This window comes from Homo sapiens, chromosome 11, assembly GCF_000001405.40.
Source record: "Homo sapiens chromosome 11, GRCh38.p14 Primary Assembly".
In the NCBI taxonomy this organism is placed as follows: Eukaryota; Metazoa; Chordata; class Mammalia; order Primates; family Hominidae; genus Homo; species Homo sapiens.
Window position 1 is genome coordinate 25,038,444 of NC_000011.10, and position 17,090 is coordinate 25,055,533.

A 17,090-nucleotide genomic window follows, 5' to 3' on the forward strand; every position below is an offset into this window, starting at 1 on the left:
AGTCAAAATCACACATATCACAAAATTGCACAATTTTCTTTCAGCTCAAGAAGCTCAGTTTGGGTCTTTCTAAAAATGGCAGTTACATCTTTCTATTCTTAAATCTTTGTACTGAATTGGTTGGCTTTCTTGAACTGAGTTTCGACTTTCTCCTGGATCTCATTGAACTTCCTTGCCATCCAGATTCTGAATTCCAGTCTATCATTTCAGACAATTCAGACTGATTAAGAACCATTGCTGTGGAGCTAGTGAGCTCATTTGTAGGTAAGGGGACACTGGCTTTTTGAATTTCCAGAGTTCTTGCACTGACTATTTCTCATCTGGAAGGGCTAGCATTTCTTTAACTGTGGTGTAAATCGAATATAGTCAGTTGGCTTTATTTCTGGAAGCTTTCATAGAGCTAAGGCTCTGTACAAAGTCTTCGTTGCTGAATTCTTGCTCTTGGTTTTGCAGGGGGTAGAATTAGTAAAGTGATTTTTGGTGCTATATTTGGACTGTAATCCAATAGAGGATACTTGAGAGCAATGGGTGGTTGATAAGCTCTTAGCCGCACAGCATCTTTGCATATCCTCACATTCACAGCTGTTTTCTGTGGTGTAAATAGGAGAGAGGTAACCCCCCTCACCAGGTCCGCTCCTTGGTCTTGGGGTTTGAGAAAGATACCTCTGGTCACTGGAAATGTACTTGCAATTTTTGTTATTGTTGTTGTTAGATCTTTCAGGTGTTGGGGCTCCCTTGGGGATTGGACCTGAACTAGTGGCCACAGCCCTGGGATTCTAGGACCTGTTTGCAGCTCCCTTCTGTGGATCCTTGGGGTTGGGTTTTGGGTACACTGGGGGATGCAAAAGGCTTTCAGGCTGCCAAAATGCACTCAGGTGGAGCAAAGGACCCAGGCTGTGCACTTGAGGCTACACTGTGTACATGCACCTGTGGGGTAGCCAGGCATAGGCCCTAGGTGGTACTGGTAGGCAGGTAGGCCTGTAGGACTGATGGGCCCCAGTCCTGCAGGGAATCAGGCAGTGTTTTATCCATGGCAGTTAGCTGGGGCTAAAGCCTCTTAGAGGGAGATAGGAGCTCTGGTGGGAGGGCGCTTATGGCCCAACTCTGCCGGAGCTGACCCATACTCAAAGGTACCCAAATCCATGTGTGCTGCAGCTCCATCTCTGTCTAATACCTGGGGAGATCCCCCTGCCAGCTCACATGTCCATGGGGGTATGGAGACTCCTGCAACTAAGATCCTAGAGGTCCAAAGTGAGATGAGTAGTCCCCCAGTCCCTTCACTCGTATCTTCCTCAAGCACCATTCAGAGTTGGAACAGATTATTTTTTTATTTTGTAATTTTTAAAATTTTTTATTGCAGCAAATCTCTATTCCCTGAGAAGAGAGAGGCAGGTAGAGCAAGGACAAGTATTGTCCTTTAAAATTTTTTTTCAAACTCTGTAGGTCATCTTTTTTGAAAAATTGTTTTTAGATATCACTACAGACACTTTCTCTGATCACACTTTTTCTCGTTTTATATGCATGAATTAAAGTCAAAGAAGGCATGATTTTGGGAGGATCATGGGTGGACCACCCTCACACCCCCTCTATATGACTTTATTTTATCTATTAACAACCTATAAATATATAAAACCAACAGAAATTTCTAGAAGACCAAAATTAGTAAATCATAGAAGAATAAAATAATATATTTGGCAAACTTAATTCAATAAATGCATATGAGCATTTGCATGCTCCAAACAGAACTTGATTTTCATGCCCATTAAATGTGTGTTTTATTTTCTCAAAGCAATGACTTGCTTGGCCATAAAGCAAGCTTTAATAAAATTAAAGTATATGTTAGCAAACTATACTGTATATGCATAGTTCTCTGTAGAGAGCCACTTTTCTTTCTTTCCGATTTTTTTTTTTTTTTTTTTTGCCAATAGCACAGAATACCCCTGGGGAAATCATTACATAAATCTGATTTCAAGAGGGAACTCAAGGTGAACAGTAACAAATTCTGTCAACCACTTTCACACAAGTAGAAAATCACAATACCTATTAAGGTGGAAGTCAAAGAACAAATAGATTGGAATCTGACAGCATGGGTTAAATAATTAGCTGTATAATCCAAACGCTATTTGATTCTCCTAACTCAGTGGACCTCTCAGTCTGTTTTTTCACCCAGAATATGGAGCTAATAATATCTGTCTCATAGATTTCAGTTGCAATATCCCAAGAGTTCTGTGATGTTTTAAGCATCTTCTTTTTGTCAGCCTTAATGCTCAATGTGATGAGTTGTAGAGATGAAAGGGGCATTGTCTTTGCCTTTAAAGAAGTTGATGATCTCATTTTTGTCAGGACTCTAGGAAATTAAATGAAGTCAGTTAAACAAAATGACTATTCCAATCATTTCATTCATCTGCATGATCCTTACTATAGCCCCTGGTTTGATTCCTGGAGAGTCCACTGCATGTGTGGACTTTGGAAGAATTGTATCGCTACCAAAATTGATCTTTGGTACCCATCATTTCTCACTGTTTTAGCTCTTGACTGCCCTCATTCTGGCATCTAGTGGCTACAGGCTATGTGCCCTTCATTTGTGTCCTTTCTCTCTGGAACCACTGTCCCTCATTACCTGTTGTCAGTTTTCTTAATACCATTGTTTATATTTTGTTCATTTTTTTCATGGTTTCAAGTGGCACAGAACAGTAGCTTTCCTTATCTGCAGGGGATATTTTCCAAGACCTTGACTGGATGCCTGAAACTGGATAGTATTGAATCCTCTATACGCTGTATTTTTTCTATACATACTTATGATAAAGTTTAACTTATAAATTAGGCACAGTAAGATATTAACAACAATAATTAATAATAAAATAGAACAATTAAAACAATATACTATAATAAAAGCTAAGTGAATGTGGTCTTTCTCTTTCTTACTCTCTCTCTCTCAAAATATCTTAATATTTTCAAACCTTGGTTGACCTCAGGTAAATGAAATCATAGAAAGTGAAACCATATATAAGGGGTATTACTGTAAATGTGATTATTGTTACTTCATCTTGGTCAGAAATAAAATCCATCTCATTCTGTTTTAAGACAATTAAATAAAATGTTGCATTTAAAGTGCTTACCAATCAGCTGAAATATATGAATTGATTATATACGTATATAAAGTGATATGTATCTTATATATGTAATATGTATTATTTTATACACACACACACACAATTTATTATCACTTTGAAGACCCTTGTGGGTCGAGGATCAAAGGGATTTTTCTATGTCAGCCACTTTTACTCTCCTTGAGTATTCTTCAGCGCAGGGGTCCCCAGCCATGGACCAGTACTCTTCCGTGGCCTGTTAGGAAGCCGGCCACACAGCAAGAGGTGAGAAGCAGGTGAGCAAGCATTACCACCTGAGCTCTGCCTCCTGTCAGATCAGTGGCAGCATTAGATTCTCATAGGAGGGGAACCCCTATTGTGAACTGCGTGTGCGAGGGATCTGGGTTATGTGCTCTTTATGAAAATCTAATGTCTGATGATATGAGGTGGAACAGTTTCATCCTGAAATCATCGTCTCCCCATTCATGGAAAAATTGTCTTCCACAAAACCAGTCCCTGGTGCCAAGTGGTTGGGGACCACCACTTCAGTATATTTGCACTGCAAGGAAAAAACTTCATATATCAATTTGTTAAAATTTCCTCATGTTATATATTAAAAATATGCACAGACTATGGAAAAAATCAAGTTAAATTAGAAAAAAGACCACTTATGTAATATGCATGCTATTTTTTTTAATGGCACAAGAAAAAGACTAATATATTTCATTTATTCTGGAATTCTTGATTTTATAATTATCCTCTTGGGAATTTTTATTCCATCCATTTACAAAACAGTTAATTTAATTGAAGTTTTCATAACGTTTAACATGAATTTTGAGTACCATTTAAAAGATGTAGGCTTCAAACTTTTTATCAGAAAAGCTAAGAGAAACTTTGGATACTTTGATGAGGGAATATTAAATTATTTTGCCTTGCATAGGAATATGAAATATAATCAAGAGCTAGGAAAATGAGTCTCTAGTACATTATAAATTACTGGAAGAAGTGGTTGTTTTTGTTTCCTATTGCTGTTGTAACAAATACCACAAACTTGCTGACTTAAAACAACATAAATATTTTCTCTCACAAATCTAAAGGCTAGAAATCTGAAATCTGCCAGGACTATACTTCCTCTAGGGTTTCTAGGGGAGAATCCATTCTATGCCTCTCACAGCTTCTGGTAGTTGTCTGGGGATACCTGGGCTTGTGGCTGTCTATATCTGCCCCCATTACCACCTTGCCTTCTATTCCATGTTTCTGTGTGAAATCTCCCTCTTCTTCTATCTTATAAAGACACTTGTGATAGCATTTAGGGCTAACATAATAATCCAGGATCCTATGGAGTGAAATCTGTTCTCCCAAAAGTAATATGTTGAAGCTATAACCACCACGGTATAGGGCCTTTGTGAAAGTAATTAATGTTAAATGAAGTCATAATGGTGGGAGCATGATCTGGTAGAATTAGTGTTATTGTAAGAAAGTAAACCAGAGAACTTGTTTCCTTTGTGCTGTGGGAATAGTTCTAAGATGGCCATCTGCAAGCTCGGAGGAGAGTCTTCATAAGAAACTGATCCTGCTGGACCTCGATTTGCGATTTCTAGCTTTCAGAACTGGGAGAAAATAGATTTCTGTTGTTTTAAGCCACTCACTCTGATTTTTCTGTTGTAGACCAAGCTGACTAATACACAGGGTAATCTACTCATCTGAATAGCCTTAATATCATCAAATCCTTTGTCATATAAAGTAGAACATTGACATATCTTTTGGGGACCTCCACATTCTACCATTTAGCCCAGTACAGTGGTCAATCTTTTTTTAATCCACACCTCCCTAGAGTAAGAATCAAGTAAATCATACATCTTCAAGCGATAGCTGTGTAACAGATGCCAGACGCTACTTCATATTCAATTTCTCCCTTCCTAAAAACAAACAAACAAATGACAACAACAACGAAAGCAAAAAGCACACTGCGATTTAGGTACTTTTTACATCATGTGACAGAGCTGCAAAAAAAAGAAGCTCTGCAAGGATATATGTATCCAGGATATATGATATATATATATCCTTGATTAAATTACTCCATCTTCTAGTAATTTATAATGTACTAGAGACTCATTTTCCTAGCTCTTGATTATATTTCATAATCCTTGATGTATATATATCATATATATCAGACAATATATACATATATAATATTTATCAGACTATATATAATATACATAGTGTGGTATATATATAATATATATAGTGTGTGTATATATATATCTGTCACATTATGTAAAAAGTACATAAATTGCAGTGTGCTTTTTGCTTTTGTTGTTGTCATTTCATTGTTCATTTTTATAAAATGGGTCTCAGACTATATATATATGTACTCTACATATATCTGATATATATATAGTCCTCTACATATATCTGATATATATATAGTCCATATATATCTGATATATATAGTCTACATATATCTGATATATAGTCTATATATATCTGATATATATAGAGTCTATATATATATCTGATATATATAGAGTCTATATATATCTGATAAGACTATATATATATCTGATATATATAGACTATATATATCAGATACATATGTAGTCTGAGGCTGTATATATACTATAGATATAGTGTCTCTATATATACACACACACATATATATGCATATATGTATGTGTATATATATATGTGTGTGTATGTGTATGTGTGTGTGTGTGTGTGTGTGTATATATATATATATATATATATATATATATATAGTCTGATGCCCATTTTATTTAAATACTGATCCAGAATTGAAATCCATATTCCTTTCACTCCAATATACATCATCTTTCCCTAAATTCAGTTATCATTCTGGTGTTAATTAATCAGTTTCAATAAGGCTTCTTTCCACAAGGAGCCATCTCACTGATGGCAAAGGCATGTATGAAGGATGACATTTATTGTTTTTGAAAGCAAGCAGTTCATTAATTAAATATTATGTGTTTGTATTTAAAAAATTAACTTTTATACTTTTGTGCTCACACTCATGAAGAAATGCATATTTTCTTCCTATTGTTAAAAGTAATTAATGGTGGGACTGTAAACTAGTTCAACCATTGTGGAAGTCAGTGTGGCGATTCCTCAGGGATCTAGAACTAGAAATAGCATTTGACCCAGCCATCCCATTACTGGGTATATACCAAAGGATTATAAAACATGCTGCTGTAAAGACACATGCGCACGTATGTTTATTGCGGCACTATTCACAATAGCAAAGACTTGGAACCAACCTAAATGTCCAACAAGGATAGACTGGATTAAGAAAATGTGGCACATATACACCACGGAATACTATGCAGCCATGAAAAATGATAAGATCATGTCCTTTGTAGGGAAATGGATGAAACTGGAAACCATCATTCTCAGCAAAGTATCGCAAGGACAAAAAACCAAACACCACATGTTCTCACTCATAGGTGGGAATTGAACAATGAGAACACATGGACACAGGAAGGGGAACATCACACTCTGGGGACTGTTGTGCGGTGGGGGGAGGGGAGGGGTAGCATTAGGAGATATACCTAATGCTAAATGACGAGTTAATGGGTGCAGCACACCAACATGGCACATGTATACATATGTAACAAACCTGCACGTTGTGCACATGTGCCCTAAAACTTAAAGTAGAATAATAATAAAAGAAAAAAAATGAAAGTAATTAATGTATATACATGATTTAAAGCAAAATTAAGTGGAATAGCATCAGTATTGGTACAAAAACAGTAGTAAACCAGACAACCCAGTTTTCTGATAGATGAGCACAAGGACAGCCTTTCATTAATTCACAGAATAGGACGTAAAGAATAACTGAAAAAAAAAAAAAAGAAAGTTACACCGTCATTCTTTTCTCCTTGCTCTGTGTGAACTTAATAGTGAATGAAGCCCCTTTTATCTTCCATCTAAAATGTCAAAGTCCCATAAGAATAAATTATGGATAGATGATAATTAATTTATTTTCAGTATATTCTTTGCCTCAGCCTTACTTTCAAAATCTGGGCACATTTTAATAAATGCACAATATTTGCATGAGAAAACATAATTAAGTGAGCATGAAAAGGATCCATCTGCTACATAGTTTTATTTTTAGGAATTTACTGAATATCTATGCTAAAATCAAATTTCCATCATTGCTGAGCCTGTTATTACTCTTTTGAGCTTTCATAACTGGTTGATGTTTTCCTTCTGGTAATTTTTATGGTAAAACACTATCTCAGAACTTGTTTGTCAGTTTCACTTTATTGACTTGATTCCCTGTATCATCCAGGCCTCTGTGGTTACATGCAAAAAATACTGATCTTTACCAATTTTAGTAAAGGAGATTTCTTGGTTGACCATTATAACTCATAGTATTAGCAAGAAGATGGGAGAAACAAGCCTGGGCACAGGCAGAAATAAACTTTGCTTCATTAGATTGGGACACATGAATCACAAAAATGGTTTTATTGTAGAAACAACTCGTACAAGACACACTGCTGAAATTAACATATCTAACCATTGGTAGCCTGTCTTGAATCTGGTCAGCTAAGTTCCAAGGCTTCTAATGACCTAACTTGGATTATGTATGTGCCCATATCTTGAATTGGTCAGGAAATTAAATGCACAAAACAATGCTTGGGATATACCATACCATGAGAGAAAAGTAATCCTCCAAAAAAAAAAATGAGTCAATGATTATTAGGAAGGTAGAAGGAAAGATGAGCAGCTACTGAGGAGCAAATGGGAGCTCTTTGAGATACAGATCTGTTTCAAATATTTGATTCAGTTCTAAACATAATACTGTTGTAGAGCGGATGCATAATAAATATTTGTTTATTCATATTGGGAAATACAATTTAAATTGCTACATTTTAGAAAGATTTCTCCAGCAATAAACATGTCCACTACCCTTGCTTCAGTACTGACCCTAATTTTACCTTCTCTTAATCCTAAAAAAATCATAAATAAATGATGAAAAGGAAAGAGAAGGAAACAAAAAATTGTGAATGAAAAATATGTACTAGCTTCCAAGATGAAACAATGAATAACACACACTATCTTCCTTTAAGGAGCCCCAAGCCTATAATAGCCTGATGTTTGGATCGGTGATTAGAATGATATGAGTTATGCAGACTGGTACCAAGAAGGTTAATGTTCACCAAAATATTATCTATAAAACTCAAAATTGAAAATTTAAAAAATCATCAACTATAATATACATTTTTTAAAATCTTATAATTTTTTAGACCTGTAAAGTATAGATACAAACCATATATAGCATCATTTCATGTTATATGTAAAAGCAGAATAAAAATGGCATGGAGACAATAATTGTGACTGTGTAAGATATTAATTTATGTGGATATTAACAAAGACTGGGAGGGTAACAGAAATAAAAGTAGATTTTCTAGAATAATGGATGTGTTTTATTTTTTAATTTCCTTTAATGCCACTATATGTGAAAAGAAATTTGCAAGGAAATTTTGGGACTATTTATTCTGTCATCTGATTGTTTAGAAACAAAATACATTGAAATTGTCCCTTGCCTGTTAGTGTGATTCAATCCATTCTTCATGATTTTGCAGCTGTGGTTCTGGCTGTGACTGCCAGGGGAGACTTCCAGTATTACTATTTATTTATTACTCTTGTTCTTTTTAACCTGTTTCCTCAAAGCATCTGCAAGTTTGTGGTTATGGGAAGACAGGTGGTGGATGTTCAGTAGATCTTAGGTAGAATAAATAGCTGTTTTGACTCTTGTTAAGAATAGTATTGTTTTTATTTTTTTTATTTTTTTTTTTTTTACTTTTTAATTTTCTTTTTTTTATTTTTTTTAATTTTTTTTAATTTTTTTTTTATTATACTCTAAGAATGGTATTGTTTTTAACACTGGTATCCAATAATACTTACCTATTAGGAGTTGCGAGTGCTTTAAACTCTCGATTAGGAATATAAAATTGCCCTTCTTGCTAAAAACATACCTTTTCTTCAGTTTCTATATTTCAGAATTCTATATTACATAGAATTCTTCAAATGGCATAGATTCTAACCCTTGTTCAGAACATACAATTACTATTCAATCTCTTCCATCACCAGGATTTGACATCTCAGTTCAGCTGTTGTTGCCATATACCTGGTCATTTTAATTGCTTCTGTATTAGTTTCCCACTCTCATTTTCTTCTGTTTCATTTTTGCCTATGTACTGTTGCCATATCATGCTGACAGGGGCTCTAGCCATATCATACCTCTGATTTGAAATATCCAAGGGACCCCTGCTTTGGGTATTTTTGTTTAAGTTAGACCCTATGCCGGGTAAGAGTGCAGTGATACAATCACAGCTCACTGCAGCCTAGAATTTCTGGACTCAAGCCATCTTCCAGCCTCAGCCTCCTCATTAGCTAGGATTATAGGTGTAAACTACCACATTAAAAAAAAAATTGTAGCGACAGGAGACACATGATGTTATCCAGGCTGGTCTTGCACTCCTGACCTCAAGAGATCCTCCAGCCTCTGTCTCCCAATGTGCTGGAAATACAGGCCTGAGGCACTGCACCCAGCCCCCCTTTGGCTGCTGAATTAAGTATAAAATTTGTAGCTCAATTTTGGGATCTCCTCTCTACTTTTTAGTATTTTAAATCATGCTTATTGCTCCTTCTACCCTATAGACCAACAAGCCAACAACTAAGTCTCATTCTTCCGTTTCTTTGCTTAAATGTTTTCCTTCACCTGGATGGCCTCCCTCATTCTTGCCATAGTTATTCAGCAACCCACTTCAAAAATAACCCTCTTCACTAGAACTTTTCTTATTACCCCAAATGGAATTGACCATGATTCTTTTAAAATATACACAAGTCTGTTCTGCCTCCCTGCACTTAATAAGCTTTATATTAGAGTTACTTATGTGAATAACAATCAGATTAGGTGAACTCTATGAAGACCCAAATGCTACCTTTGTCATCTTTGTATTTACCAAAGGCATCTAAAACAGAACACTGGCTTGTTCATTGGCTTGATTTAAAGGGCAACTGCAAATTTATTGAATAAATTTAATAGGATTAGAAAGAATAACTTTTGTTTTCCTGTTTAATTATTTTTTAATCCTAGAGAAATTAGAGGGGAGGTCAGACGTAGGATTCCTAAACAAAAGAAAGACAGGAAAGAAAAAGAGAGTATGGGAGGTGGAAAACAATAAATGCCTTCTGGATTTCACCCAGTGAAGTTAAATTTCTTTAGGTATAAATTAAGAAGAATGTATTTACTTTTTATTTATTTATTTAATTAATTAATTTATTTATTTATTATTATACCCAGAGCCCAGCATTTGGGTGACTTTATATAGGATCAGTTTTAGTGAACTCAGTTACTTTATTTTCTATTGTTTTTCTAATATTCTAGTTGCTTTATTCATGTTCTTTTTTACATTTAATATTCTATCAGCTTTATTAACTATTCTTGGAGTTTAGTTTTATAAAGATATTGTTTTTGTAAAAATGTTCTCCTGCTAAAGAACGTACTTGCCTGTGAAAAACCAGGAGAATGCTGTGTAGAAAGTAGCGCAGGTAAAAATACCTGGGTGAGATTTGACTACTCTCTCCAGACCCTGTCTTAGTTTTCCTCGACCCCTAATGGATAGAAACCTAATTTCTTCCTCTCCTGTGAAGCAGTGTGATCAAAGTCTCAGACTCAGGCAAATTAGCATTTACTAGTTTATTTTGTGTGCCCTAAAACAGTACCCTCAGGGATTGAGGAGCTGAGTGAAACACCAATATTCAAATTAGCTCTTCCCAAGAAACACATACACATTTGAATGGATAATCTTAAACCTACCTATAGCGGTATTTCTATACAACAATTAGGGCATACCCTTCTCTGACCAGAACTAGGAAACAGCTTTTTCTTTTCTTTTCTTTTCTTTATTCTCTTCTTTTATTTTCAATTGTGTTTCTAGAGAGATGAATTCTAGAATAATATTTAGGGTTTCTGGAAATATAAAGCAGAGTTTGATTAGTTAGTATACATATTGGAGTTAATATAATCCACTATGTATATTATGAAGTGTTACGAATCATTTTCTTTCTATCGAGAAAATCAGTTATTTTCTTATTCACATATTATTTCTCTATATACTGGGGGTTAAAATAAAAAGAAAGGACAGGATATATACTTTGTGGGGGACTAGAATCCTTAAAATAAAATCTTACCATGGAAGAAATAAATATTTTCAGTAAGAAAATAATCCCAATGGACATCACTAATGCAAAATTAAATATAATTTATTTATTTAATTTCAAAGTTAAGAATTTTTCAAGGTATATTTTATGGTCTCTGATATATACAAATTTCCATTTTCTTGTTTTATTTTGATTGTAATGTTGCTATAATATTATATCATGTGTTACAATAAAACGATTTGGATCTATTTGTTCAAACTATTTCTCTTGTATTTAGTGATTTCTTTCTTTCTATCTCTCTTCGTCTCTTTTAAGCCTCAACAAAGTGCTTCTGGAAACAATGAGAGCTCTCAAGTTGAGTCAACAAAGGAAGGAAATCCAAGTACCACTGCCTGTGACTCTCAAGATGTAAGAAAAACTTAAGATGCTTTTTACAGTATTAGACAGGAGAAAAAAGCACAAGCATTTTAGCAATTCTAATTCATGCCACCATGAAACTATTTATATGTAATATCTACTATCTAAGGATTGTACTTTTAAATATAAGAAAGTAAATGTTCTTTATGTTCTTTTTTTTTTTTTTTTTTTTTTTTTTTTGAGACGGAGTCTTGGTCTGTCGCCCAGGCTGGAGTGCAGTGGCACAATCTCGGCTCACTGCAAGCTCCGCCGCCTCCCGGGTTCACGCCATTCTCCTGCCTCAGCCTCCCGAGTAGCTGGGACTACAGGCGCCCGCCACCGCGCTCGGCTAATTTTTTGTATTTTTGGTAGAGACGGGGTTTCACCGTGTTAACCAGGCTGGTCTTGATCGCCTGACCTCGTGATCCGCCCACCTCGGCCTCCCAAAGGGCTGGGATTACAGGCATGAGCCACTGAGCCTGGCCGTAAATGTTCTTTTGTTATGAATCAGGTAAGTGTTCCATTAAGCATTGCAACTAGATTCTTAGGACAACTGTGAATATGAGTTTTTAGAGAGGTAAGTGGAGGACCACAGGCTAAGCAAGGTGCTCATTCCCACAGCTACATGAAAGAAAGCTGTTAAAATGTAAAAAACAAAAGCCAACAAAAAACCTTATAGGATGTACTTCTCCATGTAAAGCAAATACACTCAGCATACAGAGACATCATTGTAGAGGAAGGGAGATTCATTTCCTTCAAATGATAGGAAATATGGAATTTGTTCAATGAGTCTTTTCACTCTTTAAAAGTGCAATGGAATTTTATTTTTTTGAACTTTGGCAAAATTGAGCTAATGGATCTATTACATTTAGATTTGAGAACAGCAAATGACAACAATTGTGTTCAAAATTAGGCTTTAATCCAACTTGAAAAGTGTCTGATGAAACTATGCTTGAAAGAAATCAGGCTGCAGCTAAAAATATATAATGATGATAAGGAGGAATAGAAAAGTAAGTTAAACAAGTGTTCTCTTTTTTCTCTTCTGGCTGCCAAAGTGGATTTAGAAAAATGAATTACTCTCCCAACTACTCGGGAGGCTGAGGCAGGAGAATGGCGTGAACCCGGGAGATGGAGCTTGCAGTGAGCCGAGATGGCGCCGCTGCACTCCTGCCTGGGCGACAGAGCGAGACTCCGTCTCAAAAAAAATAAAAAAGAAAAATGAATTACTCAACAGTTTTGCCTTCAACTCTTTGTTTATTTAAACATGTATCCAAACTATACAATTTAAAGCATAATGTTAATAAGAAGTATAAATAAAATGCTTGAAATTTACTTCCAAAGGAGGAGAGAGTCAAAAAGACTTTGGGCAGGAAGGAAGATTTTTACTATAGTTTGAAGCACGGGTAGGTCTTTGACAGTGAGCAAATTTGCAGAGGCAGGAAAATATCACAGCAGTATGGCTAAAAAACAGTACACAAAATGGCGGGATATGTGCTTACAGCAATCATTGAAGACTAGAGAATGAGGGGCCCTGGATTCCCAAGCTAAGAAATTTAATTTGAACAAGGGAGCTAGTTCAGGTTTTCAAATGTTTGTATTCAATCGAGTGATAAGGCCATGGTGTTAATTCTAAGGATGGTGTTTTTATTTCTTGATATATATTTTTGAAACTACATAAAAACATGTTCTCATTGGAGGCAAAATAGAAAATTTATGTGTGGTTTGCTAGGATTCCTCAAAGCAACATTCTGGTCTACTTTTCTTATTGAAGCCTCCTTCAAATCATAAATTGATTTGTTCATATGTTATTTGTTTCTCTCTTCTACTTGTGTTGTTCTCCTTTGTCAGGGATAACTCTTCTGTCCTCAGTGAGTTCCAGAAGCAGATACTATCTGTTTCTGGTCTCAGTCTGGACCTGGGGCTCTTCAAAAAGCTGCCTCCACCAGAACAAATATAAATGTTATTTCACTAACCTGACTTCTGTCCTCTAGACTTTTGTATTGGAGTCTCTACTCCTAAGAAGCTACACCTTTTAGTACATAGAGTGCTCAGTATTCAGAGCCTGCAGATTCAATTATAGATAATAATGAAGAAAGTAATACAATGAGTGACATAAACCAGGTGTGAGTAATCGGAATTAGTGGGACATGCATGAACATCAGTTTTCAAGTTCTAGACCAGTACTTCTTAGCTCTGTCTCCAGAATAGTGTCAACCGAAGAGTACTTACAAAATACTGATGCCCACAACCCATTGCAGAAAAATTACCTCAGCACCTCAGTAGGTAAGGTCTAGACATTAGTTGTGTTAATTTTTTGATTCATCCAGATGATTCAAATATGTAGGTCATTTTTCACTAATAATAGATTTCCCATTCATAAGAACCCTCTGGGGAGCTTTTAGAAAGTCAGATTCTGAGCAATTCATCTGGAAATTTTTAATAAATAAAACTAGAGAGACTGTTTTTTGCCTTGTATAAATTTAGCCATAATATTCTGATTTGCATTAAATATTGTGAAATGTATTGCTTCCATTTTAATGTAGCAGTATCAAAATACTGACTACCAGTCTAGAGACTTAAGCTGCAATTTGGGTTGCTTTATTGAGTGTCCAAACTGAATAAGAAGGCAGAACTTAATTTCATTTTTTTAAATCACAAAATAAAATTCTTTATCACATTTCTACCTTTATATTTTGTCTATTTTGGGGTGTGTTTTAGGATCTTAACCTATGCCTTTATATGACTTTCCTTTAATCAGATATTGAATGAATGCTATTTAGTTTTTAACAAGGACAAAAAGTAGGATATAATGTAGTTTTACTTTGTTTTTAATGTCCTTAATAAAATTGATAGTAACTTTATTCCTATTTCTTGTTTTAACTTGATTTTCAGTTGTAATGAATTCAGAAATCCAAAAACCACTGAATCAGCAAATTTTAAAAATAATTAAAGAGAGAGTAAATAGGAACCTGAATCTAGGCAATCACAGAAACAATTGGGAACAAACAATGAAAAGTCTGTTTCAAAGAGAGAGCCCCAGGATTCTGTGATCAAATGAAGATGTAGGTATAAAGATGAAGTGTAACATGAGCCCCAAATGTATGTTTTATTGGCTTAAATAATTACATCATCATTATCAAGAAAGAAAACTAGAGTAGGAGATATTTTTGGTTAACTTTTTTCTATTTACTTCTGAACAGAAGAGATTGGTACTCTGTTAATAATTAGAATGGGTGAAAGGCACAATGAAGCTAATTATTTTTGAAATATATAATTTTAAAAAAGCTTTATTGAGATATAACTTACATACCATAAAAATTCACCCATATAAGTGTATGTTTCAATCATTCATCCCATTTGCTGAGTCCAGGACTGTAATCCAGTTTCAGAACATTTTCATCTCCCTAATATGATCCCACATGCCTTTTTTTTTTTTTTTTTAATACAATGAGTCCTCATCCCCACACTAAGCCTCAGGCAACCAAAAACATGGTTTCTTTTTGTATTTGTTTGTACCTTTTTATTGCTGAAAACCATTTTATTGTGTGGTGTACCACATTTCTTTATCCATTCACCAATTGCTGTCTTTTGGATTATTTTTAATTTGTAGCTATTATGAAAAAATGATGCTATGAACGTTTGCATAAACCACTTTGTATGGCAATGTTTTAATCTCTGTTGAGTAGGCACCAAGATGTAGAATTGCTGGGTTTGATGATAAGTTTATGCTTATATTGAAAAATTGGTACATTCTTTCCCCCTTTGAACAAACATGAGTGGTGCTTCTCTATTCTCCCATCTTCACCATTAAAACCTCATGGTTCTCAGAAAGGTAAAATTCTCAGTAATGAGGGCTCACCTTACCTTAAACTAAGCCTCTTGGAGTTTTTGTATTTCATGCTAGTCCATATTCGGCCTCCAGAAATTTATTAAAGATATTACATAAATATTCCCATCAACTACTGGCTCCAGCAGCTTTCACTTAGGTAGCTTGTCTGTGTTCTCTGTATTCACGGTCTCACCAGTTTTTGGGGTGGTAGTTTTTCTGTAACATTAATTCTTTGATACATCTAAGAAAAATTATTGATTATCAGTCTGTTCAGCTTTTTGCTTGTTGTGAAGGTGGAAGTGGAGACTTCCAAGACCTTTATGTGTCAGAGCAGAACCTGAAGTCCTAATTTGTGTCTTCTGAAACACACAAGCTTTTATTTTCAATAAAGTTCAACTCATCATTTTATTCTTCATGCTTTTGATATATCTAAAGAATTATTCACCTGTTTAAGCACACTGATTTTTTTTCTTATGGTTTCTCATATAACGTGTGTGCTTTTATTTCTTACATTTAGATCAATATTCTTCAATTTTTTGTGTGTGTCTGTGGATGGTGTTAGGTAAGGTTTTGCATTTATTATTTGCATGTTGTTATTCAGTTGTCCTAGTCTTTATAACACATTTTTAAAGAATATCTTTTTTTAATTGAACTTCTTTAGTATCTTTGTCAAAAAATAACTGACACAAACATGAGTTCATTTCTCATCTTTCAATTTTTTAATTGATTTATCCTTATGCTAATACCGTATTTTCTTGTTTTGATTTTTATTTTTAATTTTAGTGGTTACCATAGTAGGTGTATATATTTATGGGATGAGATAAAAACATGAGATGTTTTTATACAGGTATCCTTGGTTACTGTAGCTTTACAATCAGTTTTGAAGTCTACAATTTAAAGTACTGTGACTTTGTTGTTCCTTTTCAAGATTGTATTGGCTATTCTGAGTCCCTTACATTTCTTTGCAAATAATAAGACCAAAACATTGTCTTAATAATACTGTTTTTTTTTCAATCCATAAACATGGAATGTCTCTCCATTTTCTTAAATCTTTTTTTCTTTTCTTTTTTTTTTTTTTTTTCGAGGCGGAGTCTCGCTGTGTCACCAGGCTGGAGTGCCCTGGCGCGATCTCGGCTCACTGCAACCTCTGCCTCCTGGGTTCAAGCGATTCTCCTGCCTCAGCCTCCTGAGTAGCTGGGACTACAGGTGCCTGCCACCATGACCAGCTAATTTTTGTATTTTTAGTAGAGACGGGCTTTCACCATGCTGGCCAGGATGGTCTCGATCTCTTGACCTTGTGATCCACCCGCCTTAGCCTCCCAAAGTGCTGGGATTACAGGCGTAAGCCACTGTGCCTGGCCTACTTTAATCTTTTAAAATTTCTTTCAGCAATGTTTGATAGTTTTTCAGGGTACAAGTCTTGCATTTCTTTTGTCTTTATTTTTCTTAAGTACTTTTCTCTTTTTCATAGTATTGCAAATGTAGTATTTTAATTGCATTTCCAGATTGTTAATTGCTATATATATAAATGCAAGTAATTTTTGTATATTGATCTATCAGATTGAGGAGTTTTAACTGACTGTGAG

At 35.0% G+C, this 17,090-nt stretch overlaps 1 protein-coding gene across 5 annotated transcripts in view, besides 1 other annotated feature; it reads left to right on the forward strand.

Moving 5' to 3' along the window:
• Positions 1-17,090, forward strand: part of LUZP2 (leucine zipper protein 2) — a 585,586-nt gene that overhangs the window by 541,391 nt on the left and 27,105 nt on the right. For all 5 annotated transcript variants that reach the window (NM_001009909.4, NM_001252010.2, NM_001252008.2 and 2 more), the window contains one exon: positions 11,595-11,687. In NM_001009909.4, coding sequence (NP_001009909.2) covers positions 11,595-11,687 — 93 coding nt within the window. The remainder of the gene's footprint in view (positions 1-11,594; positions 11,688-17,090) is intronic.
• Positions 820-1,001: a silencer, noted in NCBI's record as "fragment chr11:25060809-25060990 (GRCh37/hg19 assembly coordinates)". NCBI's record gives its function as "represses an EF-1alpha promoter that drives an FKBP-Casp9 reporter gene in an ReSE screen in HepG2 liver carcinoma cells {active_cell/tissue: HepG2}" and the evidence as "EXISTENCE:reporter gene assay evidence [ECO:0000049][PMID:32094911]".